Consider the following 27,530-nt stretch of genomic DNA (forward strand, 5'->3'; position numbering starts at 1 on the left):
CAAGAGCTTTCTTGCTAGGACTTAAGAAACATCTACTCTGCTGCTGCCCTTTGTGAGAGTTAACAATGAGCATTTTGGAGATTCTTCAGACTTTCAGATGCATTTTATGAGATATAGTAAAACACTAAGTTTAGTGCTACAAGCTGATTTGAGTGGCTGATTGCTTCCTCTGTCCTTCCAAGGACCAAGAAAACAGAAGCTTTCTTACATTAAAATATGTAGTACCTAGAATACATAGAGTGAATTTTGTTTTCCTGAAGGAACACTGATTTTTACACTTCCCCAACCTAGTGTAATTCAATAACTATAATAATTAGAACATGCCAAGTGATAATTAGAATAACCTTAAAAACAAAAGCAGGAATGGTCAGACCTGCTAAAGACTCAACTCTATATTGTCTACAAGAAACCACTTTAAATAACAATATATAATATATATTATAGAATATATACTTTAAATATTATGTGTTATTTATATATAATAATAGTATATATTTTATATAAGTAATTATATTCATATAACCTACTCAGATAGGTAAAATGTAAAAGGATGAAAAAACTACACTATACTAACAGTAATTAATCAAAAGAAAGCTAGAAACTGGGCCTGATGGCCTGTGCCTATAGTTCGAGTAACTCAGGAGGCTGAGGCAGCAGGATTTCTTGAGCTCAGGAGTTCAAGGCTTTATACAACACAGCCAAGTGAGATTTATCCAAGTATGCAAGATTTGTTCAAAATTCCACATTTAATTAATAAAATTCACAATATCAACAGGCTATAAAGAAAGAAAAAATCATATAATCGTGTCAATTTAATCAGAAAAGGCATCTGCCAAAACCCAACACCAATTATGACAAAAACTCTCAGAAACTAGAAATAGAAGAGGAACTTACTAGAAATAAAGAACTCCTACAGAAACGGTGGAAAACTGAACCCTCACCCCTAAAGATCTAAAACAGGTCAGGGAAGCCCTCTCTTTCCGTTGTTCTGGGCATCTTAGCTGCTGCAATCAGAAGACGGAAGTCAATAAAAAGTACACAAATTGGGAAGGAAGAAACAAAACAGTCAAGTTTTATCGCATGATATCTAGGTAGATCATTTCAAGGAATATACTGAAAACAGAAACAAAAACAAAACTTCTGGACCTGAAAGCATGTAAAGTTTTTAAACAAAATTCAATTGCTTTCTATATACCAGTCATAAATAATTATAATTTGAAACTTTAAGAAAATTAATACCATTTATAATAGTACCAAAATTTGAAATACTTAGGTATAAATCTAAAACAAGAACGTTGTCTGTATATGAAAAACTATAAAACTCTTATGAAATAAATTTTTAAAGCTCTAAATAAATGGAAAGATACTCCATGAATGAAGTTTGGAAGAATCAATATTTTTAGGATGTCAGTTCTTTCCAATTTTATTGACATGTTCAATGAAATTCCAATCAAAATTCTAGCAAGTTATTATGAAGGTATCAAGAAACTGACTCTTAAGTTTATCTGGAATTATAACAACTAAACTAGCCATCACAATACTGAGAACAGAGTTGGGAGTTCTCATACAATCTGGTTTCAAAACTTACTACACAGCTACACTAATCAAGATAGAGTGGCATTGGCAAAAGAATACACAATGAAGCAGAATAAAGACCTACACAAATAGAGTCAACTCATTGTTGACAGAAAAACAGAGGTAATTCAATACAGAAAGAATAGTCTCTTCAACAAATGATGTTGGAATCTTATTATGTATACATAGAAAAAAATCCTATATAACTTTATACCTTCCACAAAATTAATAGATATTGATCATAGGCCTACAGGTTAAAAAAAAAACTGTAAAAGTTTTAAACTAAGCATAGGGGAAAAATGAGGTAGTCTTCTGTTTAGTGATGAGTTTTAGATATAATACCAAAAGCACAATTTATGAAAGAAAAAAATGATAGGCTGGATCTTATTAAAATTAAAATGTATTATCTGTGACATACACTGGCAAGCAAATAAAAAATCAAGCCATAGACTGAGAGAAAATATTTGCAAAACACATATATGATAAAGGACTTGCACATAAAGATGGGAATAATAGACACTGAGACTCCAAAAGGAGGGAAGGAGAGGGAAAATAAGTGTTGAAAAACTATCTATTGGGTACCATATTCACCATCTGGGTGATGGGTTTCATTGGAGCCCAAACCTCAGCATCTCACAATATATCCATGTAACAAACCTGCACATATACCCCCTGAATCTAAATTTTTTTAAAAAAAAGCAAAAGAGCATTTAACAAACTATACAAAAAAACTTTTAAAACTCACCAATAAGAAAAGCAACAACTCAGTTGTTTTTAAATGGGCAAATATATGAACAAACATTTAATCAAAGAAGATATACAGATGGCACATAGACATTTAAAATTGTTCAACATCATTATCATTTAGAAATTGTACATCACAACAACAATGACATACTACTACACAACTATTAGAATAGCTAAAATCCAAAAATGAAGAACAGAAAATGTATTGCCAGCTGGGATGCAAAATGGTGCAATCACATTGAGAGACAGTTTGGCAGTTTATTATCGAGTTAAACATAGTCTTACCACACAACCAGAAATAGAACGCGTACATATTTATCCCACTGATTTGAAATGTATGTCTACATTAAACTGCACATGAATGCTCCTAGCAGCTTTGTGATGGCCAAAAACTGGAAGCAGGAAAGATGTTTGTCAATAGGTGGATAGATAAACAAACTGTACTACATTCAAACAATGGATTACAATTCAGAGTTAAAAAAATGACCTATCAAGATCATGCAAAAAGGCATGGAAAAATCTTAAATGCATATTGCTAAGTGAAATAAGTAAGTCTGGAAAGGCTACTACCATGTGATTGCAACTATATGACACTGGAAAAAGTGTATATAGTGTATATAGATGGTACAAAGACGGTAGTTGGCAGGAGTTTATGGTAAAGAAGAAAGATTTGAATAGGTGAAGTGCAAAAGGCTTTTTTAGGGTGGTGAAACTATTCCATATGATATTATACTGGTGGTTATGTGACAGTATGTATTTTCTTATAGTCATAGAACTTTAGAGCATAAAGAATGAACATTAATGAACACAAATTTTAAAAAATCCCTTTGGAGACTGGAGGATTCCAACATGGAATGAAGAATGTAACATGTCAATCTGACTTATATGTGAATGAAATAACTTTTCTGAAGTGGTTAGGGGAAATAAGTACTAGCCTGAGTTTCTTTAGAAGTGTGTAGAATTTGTAAGTATAAAAGCAAAACAAACAAAAAAGCCACAAAGGCTGTACATAATCACTATAAGAGTTTTTCCCATGGTGTATGGGGTTAACAATCCTGATACTAATATGCATCTATACTAAACAATTAAGTAAATGGATGATGGATGGTGGGAATTTATATAAAAGGAAGGGCAGGAGGCTAGAATGTTCCATGTGGTAATGGATTCGAGTGGAAGATATTGTATTAAATCATGCTTAGTTAATATAGATACAGATGATTACATATAGAAATATTTAAGAATATGTGTAGATACATTCATTAGTATACACATATATTTCCTTGCTCTGTCAGCTAAAAGGGCCTCAAAGCAAAGAGGCCGCAGTGGCAATAAGCATACCTAGCACTCTGATCTCGCTTTCTAGATTTATTCTAAAATAAAAGGAACAAGAATCCTTGGAGAAATGGCCGATTCTAACCTGGAGGAAGAGGAAGAAAATCCACAATGATGTAGGATAGTCAAAGAGACATAGGAGTCAACAGAAAGATCTCAGAATGGCCAACAGTTTGAGAAACAAATGAATAACATAATATTGATTATAACTGAAAATGTTAAATAATTATTAGTTTGTATTGATATTAATTAATTAAAATAAGTAGAGGTGAAGAGATAAATCTCCCATGCAGAAGAATTCCAAATAATTTATGCAGCTATTCTGCCCTCAAGGGAGAAGAGCATAATTTCCCAATCATTAAGTATGAGCTGTGCAATGGTGACCTCCACTCAAATATTATAGTAGAAAATGGGTTTAAGAAGAGTAACTTTATAATAGAGAAATCTAGCAAGCACTACCTCAGCCAAATCATCAAGGTCAACATCAACATTGATAGGTCATTTTGATAGTATGTACCCTTAATACATGAGATGATGAAAATGGTACTTTAATCCCACTCTCATCATGAGAAAAATATAAAATACCTGACCAGTATTCCTCAAAACTCTCAAGGTCATAAAAAAAAACATAAGAAATTTCAGAAATTGTCACAGACAAGTGATGTCTAAAGAGACATGACAAACAAATGGGATGTGATATCCTGGATGAAATCCTGAAAGAAATAAAGAACAATAGCTAAAAGCTAAGAATATCTGAGTGAAGAATGGACTTAAATTAGTCATAATGTATTAATATTGGTTCCATAATTGTAACAAAAGTAGCATATACATGTCAAATATTAATAATAGGGGGAAACTGAGTGTGGAGTATGTGATAATTCTCTGTATTATCTTCGTAATTTTTATGGAAGTCTAACATTATTCTAAGATAAAAAGATTTATTTCCAAAACACAAATATTAAATTTAGTCAATGTATAATATAGAAAAATAACTAATTGAACCATAGCCCCTTTTCATAAACATATTTGCTCTCAGAATAGCATGCAACTAACCTTACACATATTCAACAATCCATATAGCCTATTTCAGGATACACAAAAGTTTATAAAGTAACTTAAGGATGGGAAATTCACGACATTTTTATAAAACCAAACTCTCTCTCTCTCTCTCTCTATATATATATATGTGTGTGTGTGTGTGTGTATATATACACATATATTCATATATATGTGTGTGTATATATACACATATATTCATATATGTGTCTGTATATATGTGTGTATATATGTGTATATATATGTATATATACACATATATACGTGTGTGTGTATATATATGTGTGTGCGTATATATGTATATGTGTGTGTGTGTGTATGTGTATGTGTGTGTGTGTGTGTGTGTGTATATATATATATATATATATATATATCTCCAGTGGAGAATAACACAAAGCAGATTAGATTATAATACAAAAAATCAGGTTTAAAATCCTTGACATCATGGATAACAATGCAATTTAGCATAAAATTACTTATTATTTAGAATAACTGTCATAAACAGCACATGATTTTTCAAAGGTGTTCCAAAAAAATCCAAATCCCATGTAATGTCACATGATTAAATAATTTGTGGAAATTAAATTGCTACATCCTATATTCTATTTTTGAAGTTTCACTATATATTAACTACCTGATAAAGATTTAAATCGCTTAATAAAGATTTTTATCAATGTGCCAATAAAGAACTGCATTGTTCAACTATGCCTGGATTTTATCCAGGCACTCCCTAGAAATATTTGATTATGCAAATCTGTTTTTTTTTTGCATATACCCTAGATATTTCTTTAAAAAGTAATATATCCACAGATACATTTAGCAAAATATAAACAAACAAAAATTCCTGCAATTATGTGCATGAAAAAAAGGACATGATTACATAAAATGAAAATTCAGATACAAAATATCTTGGCATATCATATTATTACATGTATTTTCAAGTTATAAAAGGAAGAGTTTTTAAAAATGAAGATGTGTAATGAATATTGACTAACATTTTTAAACCATTATGTAGTCCCATATTGAACAAAGACAACATGTTATTTATAAAACTGTTAAATTAATTTTATAGTTTGTTTCCACTTTAATGTTCTATGAAATTATTTTATTGTACTTTTGAAACATGTCTGTGATTTCTGAAATAAATGATACATGAACAAGACTTCATGTTCTATAATTATTCTTATTATAACAGACCCTTAGTATTAAGAAAATCAAGTATTCTCAATTCATAGTAAGTTAGCCTAGGGCTATGAGAAAAAAAATTAAACTGGGCAGCAAATTAATGTGCTTTTTATAAGACAATACATTTCACAATGTCTCTAAGGAACTATTTATCCATTACTGAAAAGCAGAGAGAATAAACCCCCTTAAACTCTCATACCAATATGCAAATGCAGATTTGTGTGGAACAAAAATAAAATTTTCTTCAGGCTAGACCTAACATTTCTGTGATTAAAAAAATATTTAAAATAAAAAGCAGGTATATGTGTCTTTCATAATATCTAGTCTCCATTATTGTTTTTTCCTGTAAGATTGTTTGAAATGTTTAGTGAGTGTATATACTTTCATGTTTTACTGAAACATTTTGAAAGCATTTTTTTAATTTTATATTATGTAAGACAAAATAAATTCCTACTTAACAAGTGACTTCCTGTGATTGGCCATTACTGAATATTTATTGAGTAGCTCTACTATTTAAACAAAACAGCCCTGCAAGCCAAAGACTCCTTTTGGTGAGTCAAACAGTGAAAACAAGTTCTTAGTGAGAAATTTAAATCATTTGGGAATGCTTCAAAGGTCAAGGGAAGGATTACATTGTAAAGTGCCAAAGAAGCTTCACATTAGCCATATGTGAGATCAGATTTTTCTGCAACAAACTAATTTTATGTTCTTGGACAAGTTATTAAAATATTGCGATCAATCTGGCCCCTCATTATTGCTCTTGGACAAACAAAGTGCTGGGAAATCTAGTAAAGATAGCAATTAATATGATTTATAAAATTTTAGTGAAATAATTCATTCCATGCTGCCCACTGGACTCGTTTAATAAACAATGTGAAATATCAAACTGGGCTCAAGGGAGAAAATTTTGATATACATTTTAATATAAAAACATTAAAGTTACCATGTGTGAGACCAGTCCTATATATGAATCCTTGATATAATTCTTATTGAAGGACATAATCCTTAATGAAAAGAGAATGATAGGAAATCATTGAGTTTAAAAATATTTTAGTTAGTGTGGATATTGTAAACAAAGGCCATAGTAAACAAGCACTTTAAACACATTATTGAATAATTTTTAACGGCAAAATTATAAATTTGAACCACGCTAGATGTTAGTGAGCCTGTGTTTAAAGTCCTCTGTTATATATTACAGGTTACATGTCTATGAATTAAAATATCCTCTTTAGGAAACAATTTGGAATTATCCTGCAAAACTACTCACATAGCGCCTACACCAACAATTCTATTCTTAAGTATGTAACAGGAGAAATTCCTACATATCTGCAAATGAGGTAGACATAAATTGGTTCATAATAGCACTGTTTATAATAGTTAAATAAAAAGAAAAGAATCCAAAGGCCATTGGCATAACAATATTTTGAATTAAATAAGCAAATCTAAAAAGATTGCATAAAACATTCCTTTTAATAAAGATCAAAAACAATAGGTAAACAATATAATATTTAAGCAAACCATATCTGTGGTCACACTATTTTTAAAGTCCACTATTTAAAAAATATATTAAAAGTATACTATTGAATATCCAGGACATAAGAATGAGAGTGAAGTAGGACAGCCTAGAGAAAGATCAAATAGGTAAAAGTAAGATATTGTCAACATTCCAGTACACAAGCATACCACAGACAGTGAACAAGTAAACAGAAAAATAAAAAATAGGTCATCCACTGTATTATACAAACTATAGGACATTCTGGAAAAGCAAAACTATGGAAACAATTAAAAGATCAGTGGTTGCCAAGGTGGGAAAAGAGAGGAAGGGACTAATAGGCAGAACACAGAGATCTTTTAGGGCAATGAAACTATTCTGGATGTTGCTATTAAAGATGCATACCTGTCATAATACATTTATCAAAACCCATAGAATGTATAACATCAAGAATAAACCCTAATACAAACTATGGACTATGAGTGATAATGTGTCAATGTAAATTAATCACTTAAAACAGATGTAGCTCTCTGATGGGGAATGTTGAAAGTGAAGGGTGCATATGGGCAATGGGGTGGTAGGAAGTATATGGGGATTCTTTGTGCTTTCTTCAGTTTGCTTTGAAACTACAATTGATCTAAAAGACAAAGTCCATTAGAAAAAATATACAATATGTCATCCTATGTCAATGATGACAGCACATCTTGAACAACAAATTCACTTCTGAAGAACTAATTTCTACTTTAAAACTCACCAGACTAATTTATGAAATTATAAAGTAAAAAAGAAAATCAAATGATTATCTTGAAAATGCAGAAAATTAATAAAAAAATAAATTATCATTTATTATTTAAAAATCAGAAGAAACCAGGAACAGATGGGAACATTCTTTATATTACATTTGATATGATAACATACATATATTATAATTCACACTTAATTTTGAAATACTTATAACACTCTCCTTAAACTCAAAAGGCAACATTATTTTTTACTCTTACTATGCATATTCAACATTATATGGTCAAGCCAGTAATTTCACAGAAACAAAATAACTCAAATATATAAGAATAGGAAAAAATTAAAGAAGCCAATTATAATTTTCTTCATATAAAATATTAATTTGTCTCAAAATTACTAATAGTGATAGCAAACTCTATTGGGTCAGAAGCTGAATCAAACAACGTGCATACAATGTATGAATAAAACTATATTTACAAAGAAATAAAAAATAAATATCTGCTCCATGGACCTGGATCAATTCTAGTTAGATTTGATTACCTAAATTTGAAAAGCAAACTTTTAAAATTTTGGAAGAAAGTATATCAGTAAAGACCTCAGGAGGTGTCTTAAAGAGGGTGAAAACAGGACAAGTGAAAAAAAGAAAAAATAATAATAAATATAATTATATCATAACTTTTTGCATAAAATATTGTCTATATAGAAGCTAAAGACTATCAAAGATATTTTGAAATGAGTACAAACAACAGAAAACTGGTATCCAAAACAGATAATCACTAGGATTAATAAAAGGTAAAATGGTCCCCCAAAAAAGACAGCAAAGAATATGAAAAAGTAATTTATGAAATTTAAGAAAGGATCATAAAGATAGTAACCAAGGAAATGCAAATGTAACCACAGTTAGACACTATCTCAAATCTAGCAAACTGACTAAAATATTAAGAGCTGACAATTTCTGCCACTGCCAAGAATGTTGAGTAATTGGAACTGTTTTCCATGGATTTAAAGAATACACCAGTCTGGAGAACAATTTGGCAAGATCCAGTAAATTTTAACAATGTGATAAAGAAATTCTTGGAAGATGACAATGTGACATAGTTTTTAAAATCTCATCCAATCCCTTTTAAAAGAACAGACAGAGCAAAAGGAAAATATAACCAAAAAATCTATGCATAACTTAACAAACAAAGCCAACTGCAATTGTACCCACATGAACTCCAAAATACAATAGGTAGAGAAAAATTACCTACAGCTTGAGGGAATACATTATATGAGCAGGGAAAGAAGAAAGATGCTGCCAGAGCTGAGAACAAAACAATATGAAAAACAGTTAGACACTCAACTAGAGAGTGCAAAAGGGCAGTTATTGAATAATAGCTGAAACTGCACGGGTGTTTGCACATCCACAGGTAATTGACAAGGTTCCAAAGCAAGTTCTGAAGAAGCTTGTATTTGTTTTCTACTGCTGTATAACAAATTACTAGAAACTTAGTGACTTAAAATGACACATATGTATTATCTCACATTTTCTGTATGTCAGGATTCTGGATATGGCTTACTGAAGTCCTCTACTTAAAGCCTCAGAAGACAGCTATCAAGATGTCAACCAATCTGCATTCTCATCTGGAGGCTCTACTGGGGAAGAATTGTTTCTCTGCTTACTCTGGTTGTTGCAGAACCCATTTCTTTGCAAGTGTATAACTGCATACCCTAACTTTTTGCTGGTGGTCTCATGGAGGTCACTCCAAGTTCCTTGTCATGTGGGCCCCTAATGATGGCCTCTCATTTTATACCAGGTAGGGCAGAAAGTCTCTAGAGCAAGCCTGTTACCAGGAAGGAGTTCTGAACAATGTAACAATCATAGGGATGACATCACACTATTTTTTTTGGTCATAGTTTATTGGTTAAAAACAAGCCAATGTTAACGTCCACACTTAACGAGAGAGGATTTCCCAAAGTATGTATGATCACCCTGTGCTAGGGGTTATGACAGGCCTCATGCCCTCTTCGTCCATGATGGGCTGAAACAAAATTTAAAAGCTGAAGCTGTCGTCCAGAACAAAGCCATATACTGAGAAAAACTAAGAGATACTGATTTTAAATTTCAGATAAATAAAATAGAAATGGAAGAGAGAGAAAATAGTTAGAGGTAGGGGTGGGAAAAAGAGGTCATCTCAGAGAATAGATAGCCATATCTTTCAACTTTAATGAAGACTAAATACTATTCTGACCTGCTTCTTTCTCCTAATAATTCAGACAAATTAATTTCATATAGAATGAGCAGGGAAGGAATCACTGCCAAGTTTCCTCCAAAGTATTTATAAGCCAAAAGACCATAAGAAGCTGAATAATATCCTTTAAAAATATTTTAAAATTCCTGAAAAACCTACCCACAAGCAGATCAAAACTATAAATTAACATTTCAAAGTAATACAAATTTAATTAGGAAATAATAAAATATATGAAAGAAAAACATTGAATTCTAATTAGAGAAAGTAGCAAAAACAATATAGAACTGAGGAAAAAAGAAGATGTAAAATGGTAAAAAGATAATTTAGAGTAGAGACAAAACTAGAAATTAAAATTAATAAACAAAATAGATGCCTCTTTGAAAAAGAAAATGTGAAAAGGAGTACTTTCTGAAAGAAACACAACTGAAGGTAGTAAAGTACTTTAAGAAAGATGAGTACAGAAACAGTATATATCTTAATAAAAAGGAAAACATTCAGAAGAAAGGCATTATAAGTCTAAATATGTATATACCCAATAACATTATTTCAAAGTATAAAAAGCAATAATTGACAAAATTAAAGAGAGAAATCTAAACATCCATAATAATAAGATCTTAATATACCTATCATAATAGCATGTACAGTAATAAGACAAAACATAATTAGAATATAGATTTATAATGAACAATGGCAATAATGAATATATATTTTAATTAGCAACTCAATTTATATAACTGAATAACGTAAAACAATGTGTATTTTGAAGACATAATTGATATTATTTTAATCATGTATTGACTATTTACCAAAATATACTATACCATAAACAATTATTAATAAAAAGTCCTCAATAATTTTAAATTATATTAATTATTCACAGTGTTTCATAGCACAATTGAATTCAGCATATTCACATTTATTTTGAAATTAAAGAATTTCTAAATAATTTATAAATGAGAAAAAATAAGACCCAAATTAGAAACTTTTAAGTGAATAAAAATAAAAATCAACATTCTAAAACTTGTGAGATGCAGAGATAGATATGTTTAGAGAAAAATTTATAGCCTTAGTTTCATGTTTAAAAAAATAAGGAAGACTAAATGTTATTCATGTGAAGCTTCATTCTGGGAACAGAATTTTAAACCTAATAAGTGTAGACAGATAAAATGAATAATAAAAGAGTAAAAATAAATAAAATAAGAGAAAGGGTCATAATTTTAAAAAAATAGAAAAAAAATCAAATACTCCAGCAAGATTTATCAAAATAAAATAAGAAAATATACAAATTGTCAATAACAGTAATAAAAAAAGATCTCACTATAGACTCTACAGACATCAAAAATATAATAAGAGGATATTAATAAATAACTTTATACCAATACATTTGACAATTAGGATGACTTGGACAAATTCCCCCAAAAATGCAAGAGAAATAGTATTAGAATTATTAGAATTCTTACTAGTTGTACATGTATTAAAGAAATTGAAGGCTGGGCACTGTGGCTCACGCCTGTAATCCCAGCACTTTGGGAGGCCAAGGCGGGAGGATCACCTGAGGTAGGGAGTTGGACACCAGCCTGACCAACATGGAGAAACCCTGTCTCTACTAAAAATACAAAATTAGTCGTGTGTAGTGGCGCATGCCCGTAATCCCAGCTACTCGGGAGGCTAAGGCTGGAGAATCGCTTGAACCCGGGAAGCGGAGATTGCAGTGAGCTGAGATCTCGCCATTGCAATCCAGCCTGGGGAACAAGAGCAAAACTCTGTCTCAAAAATAAAATAAAATAAAATAAATTGAAATGGTTATTCAAATTCTTCCCACAGAGAAATTTCCAGACTCAGTTTCACCAGAGAATGTCTCCAAATATCTACGGGAGAAATAACATCAATCTTACACAAACCCTTACAGTGCACAGAAATAAAAGAAAGATGTTCTCATTTTATGAGGAAAGCATAAACTTGATTTCAAAACCAGCAAATGATCTTACAAGGAAATTAAACTAGAAACACTATCTCTCACAGACATAGATGCAAAGATCTTTTAAAAAGTTAATAAATTAAATCCAATAATACATAGTATATATAAATAAAATATATTACATCAGTATGAAAGTGCTTACTATCTATAATACATAAATAAGTTCCTTTTAAAAACAAATGATAGAAGAAAAGTTAGTAGAAATACAGGCAAAAGACTAAAACAAAATATTCCAGAAAAGGGGACATCTGATAGGTCAATGAAAATATGAATATATGTGGACACCAAATCCAATGATTAAAATGGAAAAAAAAATGCTGAGTGTTGGTGCAGATGAAGAACAGCTGGAACTCGTATAAGTTGGGAGTGCAATATTGGCAAAACCATTTAGAAAACTGTAACATTATTGACTATAGCTGAATATAAATACATCCTGTCACCTAGCAATTACCATTTTCAATGTATATATAACAGAAACGCATACATGTGTTCACCCAGAGATATGAATTTTCAAAAAAGTGCTATTTATAATTGGCACCAAATGCAAACTATCTAAATAGTAAATGCCTACTCACCATCGAATGGATAAATTACTTAAAGCATGTTCACACAACAGAATACCATAACACAGAAAAGAACAATCTACAATTTAGCACACAACAATGTGGCTAAATGTAAAAAAATGTAATATTTAAGGTAGGAAGACAGGTAGAAAATAATTCATGCTATATGAATCCATTTATGTATCAGTAATCCAGGCTATTACAAATCAGGATAGTGGTTATATTTGGAGCGGTTGTGACTGGAAAGGGAACATGAGAGGGACTTCTGTGTTTCTTGTATTGTTCTGTTTCTTGATTTAGAATGTTAATTTTGTAAATATACAGTGCATTATATACCTATACTAGCTTCTCTTTTCCATATTACACTTGGAAAAAAAAGCTGAAGCAATGACCTACATTTGCAAAATGGATTTAGTTTTCTGGTCACCTGGCATGGGCAAACAAAGAACAAAAGTACCGTCATGCACTTCATAATGACATTTCAGGAAGTCAGCAATAAAAAACAAACCACACATAAGATGGTGGTCCCATAAGATTACAATACTGTATGTATAATGCACCTTTTCTATGTTTAGATAGGTTTAGATGCACAATTACTTACCTTTGTGTTACAATTGCCTACAGTATTCAGCATAACATGCTGTGCAGGTTTGTAGCCTAGGAACAATAGGCTATTTTATATAGCCTAGATATGTATTAGGCTCTACCATCTAGGTTTGTGTAAGTACATTCTATGATGTTTACACAATGACAAAAAGCATTTCTCAGAATGTGAATCTATTGTAAAGTGATGCATAATTTAAATATCTGCTGATTTTTAAATATCTGCTGAATTCAGAATTCTCTCAATTAACTGAGTTCACATTACAAGTTACCCCAATTCTGATTTAATATCCTTTATAGACTCCAATATAAAACTCACTTTTCTCATTATTAAAATTATATAATAATTGTTGTAATGAGTACATGAGAAAACATATACATCCCTTAATTCAGTGCCTGGAACACATAAAATATAGTCTCAGATCCATATAATTTATTTTATTTTCTTGACAACTTAAAGAAGCTTGCAATCATTTTGGTAACCTGAAAATACAGGATAATAGACAATTTTGACATACATGCAATTAATTGAACATCCATGGAAAACATCACAGAGCTTTGATGTCAGCTTTTTGGATACTTCCCAAATACTCCAGCTTGCTTGATTCATTTTGCCCTTTAAGATTTAATGAGATTTGGCTTGAATTCTCATCTTATATATAGCCAGCATTTGTGAATTCCCATATTTACTGAGTTTTCCATGCCCACTCAGAACGTATTTTAATTTTCCTGTATATTGTAACATACTAAATACTGCACTGTTTTCTTTCTTCCAGCATACCACTGACTCAAATATGTCAGTATAGTGGACTTTCTTGAAGGTAGGGAAGAAATAACTAAGAGTTAATTTTCAAAATAACATGGTTACAACTTAAAACGTGATATTAAACCTTTCTATTTTTTAAAGGTTTTCATCCAATTACAACATTAAAGAATTTCTATTTGGTTTGTCTTTTACTTCATCTTCCCATCAGGTAACTATTACTCTAGAATTTTTATCCTTTGAAATGCTTTCCTCTATTCCTAAATTGCTATTATTAATCATATAATTTATGGTGCATATATATATTAATATATTATATATAATATATATAATATATATAGGTTTTTTATACAAAGCAATTAATTTTTTAATGGTATATATATGTTTATTGTATAATTCATGGTATATACATTTATATATATAAATAGGAACAAATACATATAACATACATAAATATATATATATATATATATATTTGTTCCTTTTTTATACAAAGCAATGGATTTTTTCTTAGTCTCAATTCTAGCCCCTTATAGGGACTCTCATTCTATAACCAAAATGCAATCTCAGCAATGTGCTAAAATTTTGGAGACTTTCATATACCATTTTAAGTGAGAACACAGTAAGTCTTATAATAAAGCCAAAGCAGCATGCATGGATTTTTATTAAATTTATCATAATTTTTAAATAATACTAGGAATTCAGTTTATGTTTCTCATGTTTTTAAATTAGCCATATAAAACTAGTTGCATTTAAATAAATATTTTAGACCCAAAAATATAGGGAAAAGGCAGAAAAATAGGGCAAAACATCAAAATTAAGTATGTGCCACTACATAATTTGAGTGAAACATAAAAAAGAAATCCTAAAATGGCACATAAGGTATAACAAAACCACCAAGTATAGAATACCTAATTTGTAAATGGTGGCATAAATATGACAACACAATATAATAAAGATATTTCAAACAGAATTGATTCACTAGGTGCTGAACAATCAATGAATTATTAAAAACGTTATTATACTTAGGTATAAGCAATTTAAAATGTAGCATCTACTATAAACTAGTACTGCAGTTTAAACAGTTTTAAGAGATAGCAAGGTCCTGATTTGAGTTGAAAAGGACAGAGTACTGACAAGTAGCCACATCAACTTCCTATTAAATGACCAGAAATGCTGATTTATTAAAAAGTCCTGCATAGGAGCAACAAAATATATGAAGCTTTGGGTTAGTTAAACTTTACTTAAGATTAAGGAAGATATAAACAGTAAAAACAGATAAGGATAAATCTTTCAGGCAGTGAAATTGTACATAGATTCTGACCTCAAAAATACTGTAAAAAGAAACTTGTTTTTAGGATGCTGAGTTTCTCCATGTCCAGACCATTTCCCCTTGGTGACACCATTTTGTCAGTGCCATCTTTGCTGTCTGCCAGTCTAATATTTTAAATATTCTCAAACTCTTAACATCATTAATACAAGATTTTAATTCCCACTGAGATAAATTTTAGAGCATTATTTTCTTCCCAAGATCATTTGCATTTTATAATGTATTAATTTTAAAATAAAAATATCCACCACAGTCGATGATAGAAGCAAGCTTTCACACCTGAAAAAGTTGACACGTTTACCTGTGTAACAAACCTGCACGTGTACCCTTGAACTTAAAAGTTAAGAAAAAAAACCTCATTTCTATCTACACACAAAAAAAGGGCAATTCTATCTACACACAAAAAACTTTGTTTTGTGATGCGATCACAGAATACCACAGACTTGGTAATTTATAATGAACAGATATGTATTGGCTCACAGTTCTGGAGACTGTTAAGTCCAATATCAAAGTGCTGGCTTCTGGTAAGGGTCTCCTTACTGTGTTACATTATATGGAGGAAGGAAGGCAAGAGGGCAAGAGAGCAAGAGGTGTCTGAACTTGCTCTTTTATAATGGCATTAATCCCATCTTTGATGGTAGAACTATAATGGCCTAATCACCTCTTACTATTTAATAATTACAATTACGATTAAATTTCAACATGAATTTTGAAAGAGACAAACACTCAAATCATAGCAATAAATTGATTACCTATTCTGAATCCAAAGATTAGACTGGCCCTCATTGGAAAATTTGTATCAGAACTTATGTATTAGAAATTAGTTATAAAATGTTAATAAATGAAGCAAAGTAGTATTTGTTACAAGTTGAATTGCATCCCCCAAAACTCGTATGTTGAAGTCCTAATTTCCAAAATCTCAGAATGTGACCTTATTTGGAAACAGGGTAATTGCAGATGTAATTAATTATGTTATGATAAAGTTAATAGGGTGAGTCCTAACCTAATATGACTGATGTCCTTATAGAAAGGAGAAATTTGAGACAGAGATGGACATACACTCAGGAAGAACACTGTGAAAATTAGAATTATGCTACCAGAAGCCAAGGAATAGATCTTTCCCTAGCACCTTCAGAGGGAGCATGGACCTGCTGACACCTTTGTTGTGGACTTCTAGCCTCCAGAAGTATGACAATAAATTTCTGTTGTTTAAGCGATTCAGTTTGTGGTACTTAGCTATAGCTGTCTTAGCAAACTAATACAGTATTCTGTTTTAAAATTAACTTTCATATAAATTGTAACATTCAAAGGGCAGAGGTTGGAGAAGATGTTTGTAGGGTTAAGAGGTTATCCTCATGTATAATGGATGTTATAAGAGAACAGATCCTCTCTTAAGAAAGAATTAATTGTGATATTGTCATTTCTCACCTTTTGATGTAGTCTAACATATGGATCCCACAAAATTGAAAACAATCAAGGGCTAATGCATCTCTTATGCAAACAAATAGTAAATATGAGTAATTAAATTTAAAAAGGATTACATATTATCTAATAAGCCGACAAAGGCTATCACATCAAAAGACTGGTAATTCCTACAGCAGATGGAAACTTTAGTTGTGAAAAAAAATCTAGATAGAGACCATTGACACAGATAGATCTATACCTAACAAAAAACTCATCAGATTACATAATATGATTATTAATAATAGCAATACTTATCATGACTATCTGTCATGTATATACACAGAATGTGTGGGTACATATTGAAGATAATACAATGCCATTAAGTGATTTGACAAGTACAGTAGCAAATTTTTACTTTCAGATTACTATTAAGTAAATATTTTTTGATTTATTTAAATCCTTCTCTAAATTTTCTAATTTCACCAAATTCCATGCTACTATTACTTATGTGACATGATTCTAGAAATGGGCAGAAGCCAGTTACACACCATAGATATTCTTAGAGGATTTTATTGGGAAGTGTAATGTTTCTAAAGGAGAAAAAAAATAAAAGACAAAAAAAATAAAAGTAGCTGCAAGGTTATATTGAGATTATTACCTTAACTAAAATAAGATTCTAAATTGAGTGACACATTGTGATATTTAGGATTTAGCACACTCATATTAGGGTATATTTATTATTACGTCCATACACAGCTGAGTTAATCAACTACTATAATGTTAAATATAGATCACAGAGGAATACAACATGACTCAAAGAATCATACCAAGAAATCACAAATGGAAAGGTTTCTTATATATTCAGTTCACATAAGATGTGATTTATAAAGATAAGATAAAAACTTTTTTGTCAGAGGGAAATATGGATAAATGGATTTTTGCTAGCTTCACATGCCATGCTAACAAATTATATATTTTTACACATAGATAAGAGGTTGAGTTCTTTTTCAGCATTCTTTTTCTCACAATTACTAGGGAATGGGAAAACAGGGTGTAAGATACTAAGATGAGAAGATACTATGAAAGTAGAAATGTTGAACAATTTGAGTATGAAATTTTTATTCTTTTAATTTCTGAGTCTTTTTTTTTAACCTTTATTTTAGCCTCAGGGGTACATTTGCAGGTATGTTACATAGATAAATTGTGTCACCAGGATTTTGTATAGAGATTATTTCACTACCCAGGTAATATGGATGGCACCTAATAGGTACTTTTTGTCCTCACTCTCCTCCCACCCTCCATCTTCAAGTAGTCCCCATTGTCTGTTATTCCCTTCTTTGCATTCATATGTATTCAATATTTATTTTGCAATTATATGTGAGAACATGCAATATTTGGTTTTCTATTTCTGTGTTAGTTCACTTAGGATAATGGCACCCAGCTCTATCCATGTTGCTGCAAAAGACAATGATCTCAATCTTTTTTATAGCTGTGTAGTATTCCATGGTATATGAGAACCATATTTTCTTTATCCAATCTACCACTGATGGACATTTAGGTTTACTCCATGTGTTTGCTATTGTGAATAGTGCCATGATGAGCAAACACTTGCATGTGTCTTTATGGTAGAACCATTTACATTCTTTGGGGTATATAATCAATAATGGGATTACTGGGTGGAATGGCAATTCTGCTTTTAGCTCTTTGAGAAATTGACAAACTGTTGTTTTTTGACTTTCTGATAACAACCTTTCTGATTGGTGTGAGATGGTATCCCATAATGGTTTTGATTTGCATTCCTCTAATAATTAAAGATGTTGAGAATTTTTCCATATACTTGTGGGCTGCATGTATGTCTTCTTTTGAAAAGTGTCCGTTCACGTCCTTTGCCCACTTTTTAATGGAGTTGTTTGTTTTTTTGCTCATTAATCCATTTAAGTTCCTTATAGATTCTGGGTATTAGACCTTTGTTTGATGCATAGTTTGCGAATATTTTCTCCCATTCTGTAGGTTCTTTGTTTACTCTGTTGATAGTTTTACTTTTTCCTGTGCAGGATCTCTCTAATTTAATTAGATCTTATTTGCCAATTTTTATTTTTATTGCAATAGCTTTTGGCATCTGCATCATGAAATCTTTGACAGGCCCTATGCCCAAAATGCTATTTCCTAGGAGGTTATCTTCCAGTATTTGTATAGTTTTAGGTTTTGCATTTAAGTCTTTAATCCATCCTAACTTGATTTTTGTATATTGTATAAGGAAGGGATTCAGTTTCAACCTTCTGCATATGACTAGTCAGTTATCCCAGCACCATTTATTGAATAGGGACCACTTTCCTTATTGTTTGTTTTTGTAGACTTTGTCCCAGATCAGATGATTCTAGGTGTGTCACATTATTTCTGGGCTCTCTATTTTGTCCCATTGGTCTATGTGTCTACATGTCAGTTTTTGTACCAGTACCATGCTGTTTTGGTTACTGTAGGCTTACAGTAGAGTTTGAAGTTTGATAACATGATGCCTTCAGCTTTCTTCTTTTTGCTTAGGATTGTGTTGGCTATTCATGCTCTTTCCACTTGATTTTTAAAATAATTTTTTTTCTAATTCTGTGAAAAACGTCATTGGTAGTTTGATAGAAATAGTATTAAATCTGTAAATTGCTTTGGGCAGTATGGCCATTTTAACATGCTCTTGGATTCCTATCCAAGAGCATGGAATATTTCCAGTATCATTCTGATACCAAAACCTGACAGAGACATAACAAAAAAAGAAAACTTCAAGCAAATATCCATAATGAATATAGATGCAAAAATCCTCAACAAAATACTAGTAAATCAAATCCAGCAGCAGATCAAAAACCTAATCCACCACAATTAAGTAAACTTTATCCCTGCGATGCAAGGTTGTCTTAACATATGCAAATCAATAAATGTGATTAATAACATAAAACTAAAAACAAAAACAAGATGATTATCTCAATAAATGCATAAAAGGCTTTTGATAAAATTTAACATCTCCATGTTTTTTAAAAAAACTCTTAATAAACTAGGGATTTAAGAAACATACTTCACAATAATGAATGTCATCTATGACAAACCCACAGCCAATGTCATACTGAATGAGTAAAAGCTGGAAGCCCTCCCCTTGAAAACTGGAAAAAGACAAGGCAAAAACCACTTTTGGAAACTCTGCACAAGAAATTGCAGAATATAACCAATTTGCACATCCTATCCTGTCTAATAAAAGCAAATGCCAGTCCAGCTTGTTTCAATCACTATATATTGGATAATCTTTTTCATAGCATATTGGTCTGTACCCTAAATCTTACAATATGACTTGTAAATTGGTTAAAAACAAAGTGAAAAATAATATTTCATTTTAGGAAAACAGGGCTAATTATACAAACCAAACATGCACATGACATTAAGTCAGGCTGTATTATTTAGGCAATAACCTTACCTGTTTTATTTGTCTCTGTTAAAGTCTGATAAAATATAAAGTGTGAGACATTAGTATTGATAATCTACTAGAGAAGAAATAAAACCTCCAATGTGCTGAGCCTGAAAATAAAAAACAGTAATGTGTCAGTAAATATCTTAAATGTTTTAATATCCTATGCACCTTTCAAAACTGGTCCTTAGGTCCGTATTTGAATGTGTTAATATCATTATTGAACCTAAAAGTTGCTACCAAGTGCCTCTTTTGTCTTCCTAGTTTTCAGTATATAGCTGATTAAGCTGTGTGCAGATTTTCTAGTTTATGCCAGATAACCAAAGAAAATATTTTAAATATATTTGACAATTGTAATCTGTAACTTCTTTAGTAATTCTGCTAGTACACATATGGTGTCTCTCACTTATGTCTAGAAGTAGCTGTATTACATTAAGTATGCTTCATTAATGATTCACTCAACATTAAGCATTGATTAAGCACCTAATAAATTCATATTAATAGATAAAAATTTGTTGTGATAATGATGACAAGCTCCTCTCCAAGTACTCCAAGCTTCATCTCCAATATTTTCTTATGTGTCAAATATAAAATTTATAACCATTCCAGAAATAGAACTCTGAGTCTTGTTGATCTCCTTGTTTACATGCTATCATCGTATCTGAAAATACATCAAAACATAGATTGCTTTTTCTGCACAGAAAGACTAAGTGCAGATGAATTATTGCCCATTTCAAATGTTATGTTCCCCCCTCCCAATTTGCCCATTTACTCTAAGCTGAGTTCCTACAGATGCCTTTGCCTAGATGACATTATTTCAGATGATGTATTTATATGATTCTCTCTCTACTGTTGCCACATTCAAATGCATTTGTGGAATCCAGCCATGCACAATAAACAATAATTTTTTAAATCCTTTATTCCAGGGCAAGCCATTTCTTCTAGCTATTCCACAGCACGAAGTGCAACTAAAGTGTTAGTATAATCATTTCATTAAATGATAGCCAAAGCAAAGAAGAAAATTGTTGTCCACTGACAATAAGACACAAACACAAAAACAAACATAAATAAAGGGAACAGCTGCAGAATATGTGTAAATACATTTATTTTTTAAGACTAAAATTGAAAGTCATACATAGAGAATCTAAATTTTGAAATAGTTGCTTACTCCTTCATGAAATACTTTAATTATCCTGGCTAGAAGGACAGCAAATTCTCCCCATTTTCCCTCTTTTTCATTGCTATTCCCTCTTCTTCTCCATTCCTGCCTTATTTTCCTCTTTCTATCTTCCAAATGTTGGCATGTCCCAGGACTAATTTATCAGATCTTTTCTCTTTTCGCTTGCTCCCTAAGTGAGTGGTGGCTTAAAATGTCATCTGTACACTAATGTCTTTTAAATTAACATCTCTATCAATGATTTCTCCCTTAAGGATAGAATCTAATACTCAACTACCTAGCTGATATGGGGGTTAGTTGATTGATTAGTAAATGGTTCAAATTTAACATGTTCTGAACTAAATTAGTGATTTTTGTCATTGCCTTTCACCTGTTCTTTTCCTATGTTTTCTAAGTCAGTAAATGGTAATTCTATTAGCCAATTTGCTCAAGCCTAAAGCTTAAGTCATTGTTTTCTTCATTTATTCTTCCATTACCATATTCAGTAAGCAAGATCTATGAGTGCTGTCTTAAAAAGACTTACCAAATACAGCTACTCATCACTGCCTTTCCTGTTAACACCTTCAGTTCAGTTATTCTATGCCTAATAAATACAGTAATTTCCAAATCATTTTCTCTGCTTCTAACTCTACAGTTATAAGTCTAAAAGATAACCAGTGTGATATCTTCCAAATGAAAATCAGACCTATCACTATCCTGCTAAGCAATTTGTTTCTACTTCAGAATAAAACTCAAATATTTACTTTAAAGATAAAATCCAAATGGAATACAGGGCTTTACATGATGTGGAAACAGCCTACTTCCGCTAACTTTTTCTCCAGCCACTCTCCAGTTTGCATTTCTTTCTGTGCCTTAATATTTTAGAATATTAAGGCTCCTTTCTGTTTCATGCCCTTACTACTTAGTATTCCTGTTCCTGAAATGCTCTTTCCTCATGATCTTGGCCTGGCAATTCCCTGACTTGATGAAAGTCTCTCCTTAAATTTCATTTCCTAAGAACATGACCAATTTACAAAAGTCTATCTAACATGACTCTCCACACCAAGTATATCGTACTTGCTTATACATTCAACTTTACTTACTAGTCCTCAATATGTATCATATATATATAAATCAAAATCAATGTAAATATCTATATATCATATGTTATCTATGTATGTATATCTATATATGATATCAATAACATGCTGATAAACATAGATAAATATATATACCATGTATGATATATATTACATATATGCTTATTGAATTATTTATCTGTCTCTTTCCCAGTAAAATTTAAATTCCATAAAGACAGAAACATTTGTAAATCCACTACTCTATTCCCAAAGCCTAAATCATATAGGATAATGACCATAAAATATCTCTACAAAAATAAATATAATTGTTGTCATTTTAAGGATTATTTTTTACAACTTTGAATACACAAAATAAGCTTATTTGCAAATCTTCTTTTAAAGCACAGTTTCATCAATGATTAATAATTGCATTTTCTTATTTTTAATATTGTATTAGGAAAGTAAAAACTCATCAGATGCCAACATAAAAACCAAAAATTTGACAATAACATCTATTTGTACAGTGTTCCTCATTTAATTACCCATTTTCCTTTACCTGAGGTAACTATCTATTTTGAGTATTTCTGTGTTATGGTTAATTTTCTTAAATTTAGAATATCCTATTTAGAGTCAGTACCATTTTATAACTGTGGTAAAATTCTCAATATACACCAAAACTCCTCATAAAAACAGACAGACTGTAAGTAGCCAAAGAAAAAATCACAAAGAACATCTTCAACAAAACTAGGTGGCAAGTTATCCTGAGAGTGTTAGATTAAGAGTGCTTGAGGCAAAACACATTAAAAATCAGGATCCATACAAGATTAATAGGTGTACAAAGGTGGTGGAGGGAAAATAAAGAAATGTTTGGATGATCCTAAAAGCACAGGGTGAGAGAAATCAACCACCAATACTCACACCAAGAGAATCTCCGGTAAGCTGTACAGAGTTTAACAATGAAATTGGAGAGGGAGAAGAGGGAGAAAGAGAAGGAGAGGGAGATGGGAAGAAGGAGATGGGAGAAATAAAATGAGGGACCCACTAAGGGTTCAATAGGACAGAGACACTTTAAAGAAAAATGTGACATATAAACAAATTCAATAGGGTAGATTCGGTGCAGGTAAAATTTCAATTATTTGTCAGCAAGGATTCCAGAGAAGGCAGATTACAAAACTATGAAGGCTGCTATTTCAGATTAACCATATTTTAAACTTTTGAGGTAACAACATAAGAGAAAGCCTTCTAGTAATATACCCACAACCCCTATACAGAATCTTCTTCCTAAAAGTATGGGAACACCCATCCAATGTCTTTATCTACTTCTCTCTCTCTATCTCTAGTGTCTAACAGCTCTCTATCATCCATGTTAAATATCTTGAGTTCATGCAGATATCAATATAATAATTTGGGGTATATTCTACTCTAACTTCTTTCTGTGTTTATAACGCCTCTCTCAAAAAATTATAAACCTAGGTGTCACTATCAGACCTAGAATACTGAGAAAGTATTCTTAGAATTTCCAACCTATATTAGAGGTTTAAAAATTGTAACTAGTTGGAATTTAAAAGTTGTTTATCTTCTTTGTTTAGGTAAAAATAACATAAAGAAAAGGTACAATTCTTAAATAAACACTCTGCTGATATTTGAAAAATACATACATGCATGTAGCCCACAGTCTTATTGAGATAAAGAGTATTCATAGCACTCAGAAAGTGTCCTGGTGCTGCTAATCAGTAAAACCTCCCCAAAGATAACCACTATATTTTTTATTTGTTTCTTACCACAAATTATTTTTGTCTGTGCCAGAACTTCACATACATAAACACGGCTACACTCTTTTACGTTTGCTTTTCTTCACTCAGGATAGTATCTATGAGGTACATTCATGATGTAAGTATATCAGTAGCTAGTTCCATTGTATTGCTGAGTAATAATCCACTGAATGAATATAACGTGCAATTGTGTACAGTTTATTCCATTGACAGTCTTTAGGATTGTTTCCAGCTATTTAGTATTAAAAGTAAAGTTGATACAATTATTTTTGCATAAAGTCATTTAGTGGAGGAATGTTTCATTGCAGTTATAAAAATACAAGTAGACCTGCTTATTAGCAGTATATACAATTTTTTTTTTTTTTTTTTTGAGACGGAGTCTCGCTCTGTCGCCCAGGCTGGATTACAGTGTCCTAATCTCCGCTCACTGAAAGCTCCGCCTCCCGGGTTCACGACATTCTCCTGCCTCAGCCTCCCGAGTAGCTGGGACTACAGGCGTCTGCCACCACTCCCAGCTAATTTTTTGTACTTTTAGTAGAGACGGGGTTTCACCGTGTTAGCCAGGATGATCTCGATCTCCTGACCTCGTGATCCATCCGCCTCTGCTTCCCAAAGTGCTGGGATTACAGGCGTGAGCCACCGCGCCCAGCCCACAGTATATACAGTTTTATAAGAAATTGATAACCTTTTCCTAAAGTGATAATATCATTCAATGTTGTCGCTTTTCCATTAACCGTTCTAGTGGATGTCTAGTGGCCTCTCATCATGTGTGTTTATATTGAAATTATCCTTGATTATTCTAATGAAGTTGAACATTTTTTCAAGTGTATGTTGGTGATTTGTCTCCCTTGTGAAAGATCATTTCAGGTCTGTGGCCCATATTTATTGCGTTTTTTAAAAAATTGTTGAATTCCACAAGTTTTTAGGTTCCTAGATAAATATAAACCTAAAAATGTGTTCAATGAAACAGTTTAGGTTCCAAGATAAAAGTCCACTGTGTGTGAATATATATTTTAGAATATTAAGCTCCTTTCTGTTTCATGCCCTTGGTACTTAGTATTCCTGTTCCTGAAATGCTCTTTCCTCATGATCTTGGCATGGCAATTCCCTGACTTGATAAAAGTCTCTCCTTAAATTTCATTTCCTAAGAACATGACCAATTTAGGAAAGTCTATCTAACAAGACTCTCCAACCACCAAATAGATAGTATTTGCTTATGCATTCAACTTTACTTACTAGTCCTCAATATGTATCATATATATAAAAATCAATATCAATGTAAATATCTATAGATCATATGTGGTATCTGTCTATATATATCTATAATTATATATATTATATATATGCACATACAGTGTATATATATATATATATAAATACACACACACACATATATGTATGTATTCCAGGTACCAGATCTAAACATATATATAAAAGCATACGTATATATGTGTGTATATATACACATATGTATATAAAAAATATATGTATTTGTATGTATATACATGTGTATATATATATACACACACACACACACAGAGTGGACTTTTATCTTGGAACATGGAACACCATATATTTTAGGAATGCATATATATATATATATATATATATATATATATATATATATATATTTCCATTCATATATGTGTGTGTGTACCAGGTACCAGATCAAAATATATATATATAAAAGTATGTGTGTATATATGTGTGATATATATATACACATGTATATATTTATGCATATGTGTATATATATATATACACACGTATATATTTATGCATATGTGTGTATATATATATATATACACACACACACAGTGGACTTTTATCTTGGAACCTGGAACACACACACACACACACACACACACACATATATATATATATATATTTATATGTATTTATTTATTTAGATCTGGAACCTGGAATACATATACATATATGTTTGTGTTTGTGTGTGTGGTGTTTTTGTATGTGTTTTTTGTTTTTTTCATTTCTTGTGGTTTTGTGGTAGGTGGTTAACATGTTTAGCTTTTACTTTCATGGCTAGGATTTATCTCAATTTTTTTGTTTCACAGTGTGAGGAGTCAATTCATTTTTTCCCCAAATGGATATCCAGTTGTTTGAGCACCATTTATTTGTTAGAAAGATGTTCATTTCCTCTATTGAATTTCTTTGTTAACTTTGTCAAAAATTAAATAATCATGTGTCAATGTATTAGTAAATAAACTCTGTCCAGCAGAATTTTCTCTGAGAGTGGACTTCATCTGTATCTTTGCTGTCTAGTAATGTAGCTACTAGCCACATGTGGCAATTGAGTACTTGAAATATGGCCAGTGCAAATAAGAAAATGAATTTTTAATTGAATTTAATGATGGTAAATTTGAATATAAACTTAAATAACCACAAGTGGCTGATGCGTACTATGGCTGATGCGTACTACATTGGAAAGCAAAATTCTAGACTCTAGTATACTTTATTAAGCTGTATTTCTAATTTACAACAATGCTAAAAATTTTTCATTACCATGTTTTTATAGTACTTTTCTACTATAGTAGTATAAGTAAATCATCCAACTTTAAACTTTTTTATCTCAATTACCCTGGCCATTCAAAGCCTTTGCCTTTTCATATAAAATTCCATTTAATAGCCATTTCATTCCAGTTTAAAGTAAAAAAACTTTTAAGAAATGTAACCAGTACTGGATTGAATCTGCAGAACAATCCATCTCAAAGAAAAAGACACTATTTTTATAGTGCCTTTCAATACAGTATATTATTTATTTATGTATTATTTAAATTATTCAAGAAACATTTTGTAGTTTTCAATTCCTAGCATGCTGTAGGAAAATTATAATTTGACAAAACATGTTTTTCTTTTTACATATAATTGGATTCAATATATAATATTGAAAATGCTTTATTAAAGATCTTTTACATCTGTGCTTGTGAGGGATACTACTTTGTAGTAGACTTTTTTTTCTTGAAATACCTTTCTCTGGATTTGGTATAACGCAGGTTTGGTTTCACAAGCTGGCAGCTCTTTTAGTATGGCTTTAGGTGCATCCCACAAATTTCATTC

The 27,530-nt window shown here is 31.2% G+C and overlaps 1 long non-coding RNA gene across 2 annotated transcripts in view; it reads right to left on the minus strand.

Annotated features, from left to right (window-relative positions):
- The window catches only part of LOC105369878 (uncharacterized), a 145,625-nt gene that overhangs the window by 3,402 nt on the left and 114,693 nt on the right, over positions 1–27,530 (minus strand). The window contains exon 1 of one of the 2 annotated variants that reach the window (XR_945158.1): positions 9,653–9,929. The exons of the other annotated variant lie outside the window; for it this stretch is intronic. This is a non-coding gene — a long non-coding RNA (uncharacterized LOC105369878). Of the gene's footprint in view, positions 1–9,652; positions 9,930–27,530 lie in introns of those variants that run through there. 2 annotated transcript variants of the gene reach the window in all.

This window comes from Homo sapiens, chromosome 12 (assembly GCF_000001405.40).
Source record: "Homo sapiens chromosome 12, GRCh38.p14 Primary Assembly".
Taxonomy (NCBI): domain Eukaryota; kingdom Metazoa; phylum Chordata; class Mammalia; order Primates; family Hominidae; genus Homo; species Homo sapiens.